We start from the raw sequence: 12,221 nt of genomic DNA, 5'->3' as shown, positions 1-12,221 counted from the left end.
TTACTAATAATCATGGCTGATATATTTTTGTCTATTTGATTGTTTTTGTTTGTTGTTTTGTTTTGAGACAGGGTCTCATTCAGTTGCCCAGACTGGAGCATAGCGGCACAATCTTGGATCACTGCAGCCTCAACCTCCTGGACTCAAGTGATCCTCTTGCCTCAGCCTCCTGAGTAGCTGGGACTACAGGTGTGCACCACCACGTCCTGCTAATTTAAATTTTTTTTTTGTAGAAGCAGGGTCTCCCTATGTTGCCCAGGCTGGTCCCAAACTCCTGGACTCAAGCAATCCTCCTGCCTCAGCCTCCCAAAGTACTGGCATTACAGGTGTGAGTCACTGCGCCTGGCCGACATGGCTGATGTTTATTAAACATTTCCAATAAGGCAAGTCTTATTGATAATACACCAATAATATGTTAACAATTTATATGTATTATCTCATTTAAACCTCAAACTAGCATAGAAGTTTTTATATAAATACAAATTTAAAAGGGGCCGGTCGTGGTGGCTCACGCCTATAATCCCAGCAATTTGGGAGGCCGAGGCGGGCGGATCACCTGAGGTCAGCAGTTAAAGACCAGCCTGACCAACATGGACAAACCCCATCTCTACTAAAAATACAAAATTAGTCAGGCGTGGTGGCGTGTGCCTGTAATCCCAGCTACTCAGGAGGCTGAGGCAGGAGAATCACTTGAACCCGCGAGGCAGAAGTTGCGGTGAGCCAAGATTGAGCCCCTGCACTCCAGCCTGGGCAACAAGAGTGAAACTCCGTCTCAAAAACAACAAAAACAAAAACAAAACAAAAAATTAAAAGGAAATAAAAATAATTTTAAAAAACCTCAAACTAATCTTAAATGCTACTATTACATCTTCATTTTACAGACAAGCAAACTGAGGCCCAGAAAGACTAAGAAACTTACCCTTGGACATACGACTTGAAATAAAGGAAACAAATCAAATCTGAGAAGTCTGACTTCGAGCCCTCCATGCACAGCCATTAAACTATACGGTAACTATGGTGGCTGAATTCCCTTTCCCAGAATCCCCTTTCCCAGAGTTCCCTTTCCTGTTCATTTCCAGTTAGCATGGGCCACAAATGATTCTTTTTTTTTTTTTTCGCCCCTGAACCCAATTGAAAACTACACAAGAGAGTCCTGTGAGAGACTGGAGGGCTGAATTGAAGCAGCAGCCGTTCCGCAGCTGACAGTGCTGGTTATCTGATGCCTCAACTCATTGGCAAGAGGCAGCAGCTACACCTGTAATTGCTTCACCTTCTCCTGAATCTTCCTTCAGCTTCTCTTACTCCTGGACCAGGTGTCAGTGTTTATATCTCTGGGCAAAGAGCCCTGGTTTCTCCTGGATGCCCACACCACCAACATTAGAAGCAACAAGAACTGACGCGGTCTCCAGCCTGCCCTCATGGGCTCCAGTTTATGCTAGTGAGTTCCAGCTCATTCTCCACTTTACCAACTGCCTGCCCCGGGGACCTCAAACTCCAGCATCAGATATGAAGACAACAACGGTGTAGAAACTGCTTAACCAGCAGCCTTCACTTTGCATGGCCATGCAGGACCACAGATAGGACCGTGCAAGCTGAAACCATGCAGAGCAATCTTTTTTTTTTTTTTTTTTTTTTTTTGGATACAGAGTCTCGCTCTGTTGCCCATGCTGGAGTGCAGTGGCACAATCTCGGCTCACTGCAACCTCTGCCTCCTGGGTTCAAGTGATTCTTCTGCCTCAGCCTTCCAAGTAGCTGGGATTACAGGAGTGCGCTACCACGCCCAGTTAATTTTTGTATTTTTAGTAGAGATGGGGTTTCACTATATTGGCCAGGCTGATCTTGAACTCCTGACCTTGTGATCCATCTACCTCAGCCTCTCAAAGTGCTACGATTACACCACGCCCGGCCTTTTTTTTTGTTTTTGTTTTTGTTTTTTGAGACGGAGTCCCACTCTGTCACCCAGGCTGGAATGCAGTGGCGCCATCTCGGCTCACTTTAACCTCCACCTCCCAGGTTCAAGCGATTCTCCTGCCTCTGCCTCCTGATTAGTGGGACTACAGGTTGCCGCCCCCACGCCCGGCTAATTTTTTGTATTTTTAGTAGAGACGGGGTTTCACCGTGTTAGCCAGGATGGTCTCCATCTCCTGACCGCCTGCCTCGGCCTCCCAAAGTGCTGAGATTACAGGCATAAGCCACCACGCCCGGCCGCAAAGCAATCTTAATAATCAATGAGAAAATGTATGATTGCTCTGTGACCTTTAAATATTTTGGTCAAAACATTAAAAACTCTCTTACTGTCAGTTGTAAATATATAGGAATTTTTTCTTTGATTAAAAAAAATAGAGATAGGGGTTTCACCATGTTGTCCAGCCTGGTCTCGAACTCCTGAGCTCAAGTGATCTGCCCACCTCGGCCTCCCAGAGTGCTGGGATTACAGGCGTGAGCATGCCTGGCTGGAAAAAAATTTTTAAGTGCAGCTGATATTTATTTAGTACCTCTTTTCATTCATGATAAAGGTTATTTAAACCTTTTTTCTTTCTCTTGGCCGGGCACGGTGGCTTACGCCTGTAATCCCAGCAATTTGGGAGGCTGAGGTGGGTGGATCGCTTGAGATCAGGAGTTTGAGACCAGCCTGGCCAACATAGTGAAACCCCGTCTCTACTAAAAAAATACAAAAGTTAGCCAGGTGTGGTGGTACACACCTGTAATCCCAACTATTTGGGAAGCTGAGGCAGGAGAATTGCTTGAACCCAGGAGGCAGAGGTTGCAGTGAGCAGAGATTGTGCCACTGCACTCTAGCCTGAGTGACAGAATGAGACTCCGTCTCAAAAAAAAAAAACAAACAAAAAAAAAAACCTTTTGTCTTTTTCTTAACCAGCTATGCCAGGGGGTTGGCAATTACTCTTTTCAAAATACGAGATGCAGTTGTTTTCAGATATATCCACAAATCCTTTTCTTTTTTTTGAGACAGAGTCTCGCTCTGTCGCCCAGGCTGGAGTGCAGTGAGCCACCGCTTCTTATAATATACACCTTAAATATAAGGATGCAGAAAGGCACATCATTCACTCAAAAACAGAAATATTAATAATAATAATTTAAAAATCGGCAAGGCCGGGTGCGGTGGCTCACGCCTGTAATCCCAGCGCTTTGGGAGGCCGAGGCGGGCGGATCGCGGGGTCAGGAGATCGAGACCATCCTGGCTAACACGGTAAAACCCCATCTCTACTAAAAATACAAAAAATTAGCCGGGCGTGGTGGTGGGAGCCTGTAGTCCCAACTCCGGAGGCTGAGGCAGGAGAATGGCATGAACCCGGGAGGCGGAACTTGCAGTGAGCCAAGATCACGCCACTGCACTCCAGCCTGGGCGACAGAGGGAGACAAATGAAGGTATACAAATGGCCAAGAAACACATGAAAAGATGCTCAACATCACTAATCGTTAAGGAAATGTAAATCAAAACCTCATTCCCATTAGGATGGCCACTACAGGAAAAAAAAAAAAAAACACACACAGAAAATTAAGTGTTGGAGAGAATGTGGAAACATTGGAACTCTCGTGTACTCTTGGTGGGAATGTAAGCGGTTAAAAGTAGCAGGGCAGTTTGTTTGTTTGTTTTGAGATGGAGTCTCTATCTGTCGCCCAGGCTGGAGTGAAGTGGTACAATCTCAGCTCACTTCAACCTCCAACTCTCAGGCTCGAGCAATTCTCGTGCCTCAGCGTCCTGAGTAGCTGGGATTACAGGCAGGCGCCACCACGCCTGGCTAGTTTTTGTGGGGTTTTTTTTGTTTTTTTTTTTAGTAGAGACGGGGTTTCGCCATGTTGACCAGGCTGGTGTCAAGCTCCTGGCCTCAAGTAATTCACCCGCCTCAGCCTCCCAAAGTGTTGGGATTACAGGCCCCACCACCACGCCCAGCCAGTTCCTTAAATATTTTTATATGACATTACAAACCACTTTATTTCAGGAATTTCTACATATTGTAGAAACAGGCACAAGCTGGCAAAAAGAAAATTATCACAAGAAGAAAAGATGAATGGTAAAGAATGTCCCAAGAAAGAAATATTAATGAAATTAAATCCATTCCCACAAAGTAATTCCAGGCCCAGATGGCTTTATCATTGAATTCTACCAAAATACTTAAGGAAGAAAGAATGCTACTTTTATACTAACTTCATACCTGGGCCTCAATTTTCTCATCTGTATAAGGCAGATGTTGGACCACCTAAACTCAAAAGTTTCACTCTTGGCTGCTTACAGGGGACTCCTGGGGCAAGAGCAAAGTTGAAGATATTTCACTTTGAAAAAGGCTTCACAATTCTGTGGTTTGGTATGGCCGGGTGCAGTGGCTCATGCCTGTAATCCCAGCACTTTGGGAGACCAAGGTGGGAAGATCGCTTGAGCCCAGAAGTTCAAGACCAGCCTGGGCAACATAGTGAGACTCCGTCTCAAAAAAAAAAACATTGTGTGGTTCGGTACTGGCTGATCATCAGTGGATGAGTGAAAGCTGCCTGGGCTCCATTCTCCGTGGTCTGTAATCTGCAATGGATGTTCCCATGTGAACTGAAGTGGGTCCTCCTCCAGGGGTCCTATTGAGAGGTGACAGCGTGCTGGCAGCCCTAGCTTGCTCTGGGTGCCTCCTCGGCCTCGGTGCCCATTCTGGCCGCGCTTGAGCCCTTCAGCCCGCCGCTGCACCGTGGGAGCCCTACTCTGGGCTGGCCAAGGCCGGAGCCAGCTCCCTCAGCTTGCAGGGAGGTGTGGAGGGAAAGGCGCGGGCGGGAACCCGGGCTGCACGCGGCGCTTGCAGGCCAGCATGAGTTCCGGGTGGGCGTGGGCTGGGCGGGCCCGGCACTCTGAGCAGCCGGCTGGCCTGCCCCGCCAGCCCGGGCAGTGAGGGGCTTAGCACCTGGGCCAGCAGCTGCTGTGGTCGGTTTCTCGCCGGGCCTTAGCTGCCTCCCTGCGGGGCAGGGCTCGGGACCTGCAGTCCGCCATGCCTGCATCTCCAACCCACCCCCCACGCTGGGCTCCTGCGCGGCTTGAGCCTCCCTGAGGAGTGCCGCTCCCTGCTCCACAGCGCCCAATCCCATCGACCGCCCAAGGGCTGAGGAGTGTGGGCGCAGGGCGCGGGACTGGCAGGCAGCTCCACCTGCGGCCCCAGTGAGCAATCCAGGGGGAGAGGCCAGCTGGGCTCCTGAGTCTAGTGGGTACTTGGAGAGGCTTTGTGTTTAGCTAAGGGATTGTGAGTGCACCAATCAACACTCTGTGTCTAGCTCAAGGTTTGTGAACACACCAATCAGCACCCTGTGTCTAGCTCAGGGTTTGTGGATGCACCAATCAGCACTCTGTATCTAGCTAATCTGGTGGGGACTTGGAGAATCTTTATGTCTAGCTAAGGGATTGTGAATGCATCAATCAGCACTCTGTGTCTAGCTCAAGGTTTGTAAATGCACCAATCAGCACTCTGTGTCTTGCTCAGGGTTTGTAAATACACCAGTCAGCACTCTGTATCTAGCTAATCTAGTGGGGACTTGGAGAACTTTTGCGTCTAGCTCAGGGATTGTAAATGCACCAATCAGCACCCTGTCAAAACGGACCAATCAGCTCTCTGTAAAACAAACCAATCGGCTCTCTATAAAATGGACCAATGAGCAGTATGTGGGTGGGGTCAGATAAGAGAATAAAAGCAGGCTGCTTGAGCTAGCAGCAGCAGCAATCTGATTGGGTATCCCTTCACGTTGTGGAAACTTTGTTCTTTTGCTCTTTGCAGTAAATCTTGCTGCTGCTGAGACTTTGGGTCCACACTGCTCTTATGAGCTGTAACACTCATCACAAAGGTCTGCAGCTTCGCTCCTGAAGATAGCAAGACCACAAACCCACTGAGAGGAGGGAACAACTCTACATGTGCCCTCTTAAGACCTATTAACACTCGCCGTGAAGGTCTGTAGCTTCACTCCTGAGCCAGCGTCAGACCACGAACCCACCAGAAGGAAGAAACTCTGAACAAATCTGAACATCAGAAGGAAAAAACTCCAGACACGCCGCCTTTAAGAACTGTAACACTCACCACGAGGCTTCACGGCTTCATTCTTGAAGTCAGTGAGACCAAGAACCCACCAGTTCCGGACACACTATGATCTCCACCACCTCCTTTTCCTCCCAGGGGAGCATAGGAAACTTAAAAGTATCCTGTAAGAAAGCCAGGCGCAGTGGTTCATGCCTCTAATTCCAGCACTTTGGGAGGCTAAGGCAGGCAGATCACCTGAGGTTAGGAGATTGAGACCACCTTGGCCAATATGTGAGCCGAGGTTGTGCTACTGTACTCCCGCCTGGGAGACAGAGCGAGACTCCTCAAAAACAAGGTATCCTGTAAGAACCCCAGGATTAAGGGCAGATGGGGTCTGGAGTGTGATATTAATTTCAAAACTTCAGCTATCCAGAACCTATAGATTTACCTCTCTAAGCACCAAAACTTTTTATTTTTACCATCTTGCTTGGAAACTGCTAAATATATTCTATGCATCTCTTTCTTAGGTATAGGTTAACAAATCTATGTTCTCTGGGTTTTTCTTCAGAATATAGGGTTATAGTGATAAATATCAGTTATTGTAATGTCAGAGAAGCATTTCGGGAAATTAAAATGCATATAATTATCTGCTCCTATACCAACTAAATCTTTCCTTTTTTTTTTTTTTTTTTTTTTTTTTTTTGAGACAGTCCTGCTCTGTTGACCCTGAGTGCTGGAGTGCAGGGACAGGATCATGACTCATCACCCTTGATCTCCCAGGGTCAGTAATCCTCCCACTTCAGCCTCCCCAGTAGCTGGAACTACAGGCTCATACCACCATGCCCAGCTAATTTTTTAATATCTATATCTATATCTATATATATATTTTTTTTTGGTAAAGATGGGGTTTTAAGCATGTTGCCCAGGCTTTTCCAATTTTCTGTGATTTTTGAATTCTCATCTGGCATTAAAATATATATAATCTCTTCAGCCGGACATGGTGGCTCACGCCTGTAATCCCAGCACTTTGGGAGGCCAAGGCAGGTAGATCATTTGAGGTCAGGAGTTCGAGACCAGCCTGGCCAACATGGTGAAACCCCATCTCTACTAAAAATACAAAAAGAATTAGCCTGGTGTTGTGGTGCATGCCTGCAATACCAGCTACTTGGGAGGCTGAGGCAGGAGAATCGCTTGAACCCAGGAAGCGGAGGTTTCGGTGAGCTGAGATCATGCCACTGCGCTCCAGCCTGCATGACAGAGTGATATGTCTCAAACAAAACAAAAACAAAAATCTTCTGTATGTTTCAGGGTGTTTTCAATTACCTTAGGCATTATGTGTTATTTATTTTTATTTTTATTTTTGTTGTTTGTTTGTTTTTAAACAGTGTCGCTCTTATCTCCCAGGCTGGAGTGCAGTGGTGTGATCTTGGCTCACTGCAACCTCCACCCCCCGGGTTCAAGTGATTCTCCTGCCTCAGCCTCCTGAGCAGCTGGGATTACAGGCGCCCACCACCACGCCTGGCTAATTTTTGTACTTTTAGTAGGGATGGGGTTTCTCCATGTTGGCCAGGCTGGTCTGGAACTCCTGATCACTCAGGTGATTTGCCCGCCTCGGCCTCCCAAAGTGCTGGGATTACAGGCGTAAGCCACTGCGCCAGGCCATTTTTATTTATTTATTTATTTATTATTATTATTATTATTCTTCTTACGGAGTCTTGCTCTGTCGCCTAGGCTGGAGTGCAGTGGTGCGATCTCCGCTCACTGCAAGCTCCACCTCCCAGGTTCACGCCATTCTCCTGCCTCAGCCTCCCAAGTAGCTGGGACTACAGGCACCCACCACCGTGCCTGGCTAATTTTTTTTTGTATTTTTAGTAGATGGGATTTCACCATGTTAGCCAGGATGGTCTTGATCTCCTGACCTTGTGATCTGCCCACCTTGGCCTCCCAAAGTGCTGGGATTACAGGCGTGAGCCACTGTGCCCGGCCATTTTTATTGTTTTTTTTAGAGGCGGGGTCTTGCTCTCTTGGCCAGGCTGGAGTGCAATGGCACAATGATAGCTCACTGCAGCCTCGAACTTCTGGGATCAATCAATCCTCCCACCTTAGCTTCTCAAGTACCTAGAATGACAGGTGCATGCCACCACAGTCAGCTAGTTTTTTGTTTGTTTTTTTTTCTTAATTTTTTTGTGGAGACAGGGGTCTCGCTATATTGCCCACGCTGGTCTTCAACTCCTAGGCCTCATGCAATCCTCCCACCTCAGGTTCCTAAAGTGCTGGGATTACAGGTGTGAGCCACCACACCCAGCCTCGGTATTATGTGTTTTTTTAGCAGCTGCTGATCAGACTTTTCTAATCTGCTGCTTCTATTTTCCTGTGAGTTAAGAAAAGAGATAGGGCCGGGTGTGGTGGCTCACGCCTGTAATCCCAGCACTTTGGGAGGCCGAGGTGGGCGGATCATGATGTCAGGAGTTTGAGACCAGCCTGACCAACATGGTGAAAACCCGTCTCTACTAAAAATGGAAAAATTAGCCAGGTGTGGTGGTGTATGCCTGTAATCCCAGCTACTCAAGAGGGTGAGATAGGAGAATTGCTTGAACCTGGGAGGTGGAGGTTGCAGTGAGCCGAGATCACGCCACTGCACTCCAGCCTGGGCGACAGAGGGAGACGCCATCTCAAAAAAAGAAAAAAAAAGATTATTTGTGACACCGGAGTTCAAGGCTGCAGTGAACTATGATCATGCCACTGCATTCTGGTGTGGGCAACAGGACCAGACTCCATCTCAAAAAGGGAAGGGGAGGAGAGGGGAGGGGAGATGACTAGGCATGTTAGGATTGTGTGTAACGCCATAAAGGTAAATGGGAAAATATTATATTGAGATATTAACCATCAGTGGCTCCCACCTATCCACTCATGGTCAGAGAGCATCAAACCACAGAATTCTGAAATCTTTTCCAATCAAAGCCAAATGTCCTCCATTTTGCCCTTGGACTGGGGCCTGCCAGAGCAAGCCCAGAGACACATCAAGGGCTGACGCTGGGTGAGAACTGCGCCCCCACCCTCTCCCGCTCTTCCTTCAAGCAGGTCAAAGATCTTGGGCTACTTGTCTCTGGAGGCCTTGTGAGTCCTGTGGAAGAGTTTGGGATTGAGAAGAGATGAATTTCTTGTGGCCAGGATTTCTTATGACCTGGGGTCCTTGAATATGGATGGGAAAAACAATTACATCTTTTTTGTTATTATTATTGAGGTGGAGTCTTGCTCTGTCACCAGGCTGGAGTGCAGTGGCATGATCTCGGCTCACTGCAACCTGGGCCTCCGGGGTTGAAGTGATTCTCCTGCCTCAGCCTCCTGAGTAGCTGCGACTACAGGCGCCCGCCACCACACCCGGCTAATTTTTCTATTTTTAGTAGAGATGGGGTTTCACCATGTTGGCCAGGATGGTCTCGATCTCTTGACCTCGTGATCCACCTGCTTTGGCCTCCCAAAGTGTTGGGATTACAGGCGTGAGCTACCACGCCCAGCCAAAAAATTACATCTTTATATTCACTAATTTGTATCTAAAATATAAATTTCTGGCTGGGCGAGTATAATACAAAGAGGGTTTTTTTTTCATTTAATGTTACAGCGAAGCGTACACGGCAAGTCCAAACTGGACCTCAGCATGCGAACACGTGTGTTTGACTTTTCCGTGCTGTTGATATCTACAATGCACAGAAGTCTGTAACTAAAACCAGGCCTTCAGTCACCAGAGAGGCCTCTGTAGCTGCCACAAACTTCAACCCCCAAACTCAGTTGCGTAGGAAGTACTTTGGGTTTTGGGGATCCTGTATTTCCATGGGTTGTGTACAGTTTTGGGAGTGCTTCTGTGGGAGGGCCTTATATATGATATATATATAAAATATATATCATATATATGATATATATTTTATATATATATATGATATATACTAAATATATATCATATATATGATATATACTATATATTATATACATATATGTGGTCTTATAGATGATAAACAGTTGGATAATTTAAAAAAACAAAACCAGGCTGGGAGTGGTGGCTCACGCCTGTAATCCCAGCACTCTGGGAGGCCAAGGCGGGTGGAACACTTGAAGTAAGGAGTTTGAGACTCCTTACTTCAACATGGACAACATGGTGAAACCCTGTCTCTACTAAAATACAAAAATTAGCCAGGTGTGGTGGCGCGTGACTGTGATCCCAGCTGCTCAGGAGGCTGAGGCACAAGAATTGCTTGAACCCAGGAGGGGGAAAGTTGCAGTGAGCTGAGATCATGCCACTGCACTCCAGCCAGGGTGACAGAGCAAGACTCAGTCTCCAAAAAAAAAACAAAAACAAAAGCCTCTCATTGGATTGCTCAGAGGCTGTGATGGAATTGCTGAACAGTGGCCAAGTATGGCCATCTTCATGGCACACCTGAGAAAGTCCATGGCCCTGGGAAAGGCGTGTCTGGCCTCTGCATTTGTTGCCTCACAGCTCAGGGAACCAAACTGGGACCCCGGACATGTTTGCACTGAGTCCACTCTCCAGTGCCTCCATTAGAGGCTGCATGGGCAGCCTCAACGACAAAGTCGGCTCTCCGTCTCATCTCTTATTTCTCCATTTTATACGTAAACTCACAACTCATGGCCTGAAAGAAGGACCAGCCAAAAGCTGCTTCCTCCTCCTTTCTTTTTTTTTTTTTGAGATGGAGTCTCGCTCTGTCGTCCAGGCTGGAGTGCAGTGGCGCGATCTCAGCTCACTGCAACCTCCGCCTCCTGGGCTCAAGCGATTCTCCTGCCTCAGCCTCCTGAGTAGCTGGGACTACAGGTGCCTGCCACCACGCCTGGCTGAGTTTTGTATTTTTAGTAGAGACGGGATTTTGCTATGTTGGCCAGGCTGGTCTCTAACTCCAGACCTTAAGTGATCCGCCTGCCATGGCCTCCCAAAGTGCTGGGATTACAGGCGTGAGTCACTGCGCCCGGCGCTTCCTCTTCCTTTCCATGTTTTTTATTTTTCTTTTTTTCTTTTTTTTGGAGACAAGGTCTCACTCTGTCACCCAGGCTGGAGTGCAGTGGCGCAGTCTCAGCTCTCAGCTCACTGCTGCCTCCACCTCCTGGGTTCAAGAGATTCTCCCTGCCTTAGCCTCTTGAGTAGCTGGGATTACAGGGGTGAACAACTGCACCTGGCCTACGTGTTTTGTTGCTGTTGTTGTTGTTTCTAAGACAAGGTCTTGCTCTGTCCCTCAGGCTGGAGTGCAGTGGTGCACATCACAGCTCACTGCAGCCTCGAACTCCTAAAGCCATCCTCCTGCCTCAGCCTCCCAAATAGCTGGGACTACAAGCATGCGCCACCATGCTTGGTTAATTTTTAAAATGGTATAGACAGGGCCTCACTATGTTGCCCAGTTTGGTCTCAAACTCCTTGGCTCAAGTGATTCTCCTGCCTCAGCCTCCCAAAGTGTTGGGATTACAAGTGTGAGCCACTGCACCCAGCCTCTTTTCTGTCTTGTCCGCAAATTCCCTCCCTGAAATAAAAGACCCTTCAGAGGTGAGAAAGAGTACTAGCCCTGCCCCGTTGAACTCTTGCAGAGAACCTGTTTTCCCACCCCTGCTTCCCCGATAGGCCTCTCTTAACTTTAACCCACCCCAAGCCCTGCAGGGAGAGGGGGTAGGATCTGAGGGGAAGGTAGGACTAGCGTCCAGCTTCCTTGTTACTCCCTGCACCCTGACCTTTCCCCTCTTCAGCTGGGCCTAGTGTGGGAAGCAGAGTCCCTGGCCTCAACTTGTCAAGTTATGCAATGGACCGGCTGACAGGTGAGGCAGGCTCTTCCCACCCCCAGAGTGGTAGACTCATTAGCTGCTTAGTAGCCAGCATCTTCAAAGGGCTGAGTGTTGAGGCCTTGGGAGGAGCTGGGGCAAGGCTGAGCTAGTGGCTGTGGGTCCTCCTCCCTCACCTCTATCCCTCAGGAGACACAGGAGATCCGGGTTCTGGTCCAAAATCTGCCACGGAAGAGCTAAGCATCCTCGGTCCATCCAAGTCTCCTTCCCACTCTAGCATTAGTTTTTCCATTTTTAAGACAAGTGATTAAAACTAGATGGAGCTGGACCCAGTGGCTCACATCTTAAATCCTAGCACTTTGGGGCCGGGCGCGGTGGCTCATGCCTGTAATCCCAGCACTTTGGGAGGCCGAGGTGGGCAGATCACCTGAGGTCAGGAGTCTGAGA

At 48.1% G+C, this 12,221-nt stretch overlaps 1 annotated feature.

The window, feature by feature from the left end:
• Positions 5,756-5,956: a silencer, noted in NCBI's record as "peak2683 fragment used in MPRA reporter construct". NCBI's record gives its function as "represses an SCP1 promoter by STARR-seq MPRAs in K562 erythroleukemia cells {active_cell/tissue: K562}" and the evidence as "EXISTENCE:reporter gene assay evidence [ECO:0000049][PMID:32103011]".

Source organism: Homo sapiens, chromosome 17 (assembly GCF_000001405.40).
Source record: "Homo sapiens chromosome 17, GRCh38.p14 Primary Assembly".
NCBI classification, from domain to species: domain Eukaryota; kingdom Metazoa; phylum Chordata; class Mammalia; order Primates; family Hominidae; genus Homo; species Homo sapiens.
Note: the sequence above shows the minus strand (reverse complement) of the source record. Positions and strands in the feature narration are given on the sequence as shown.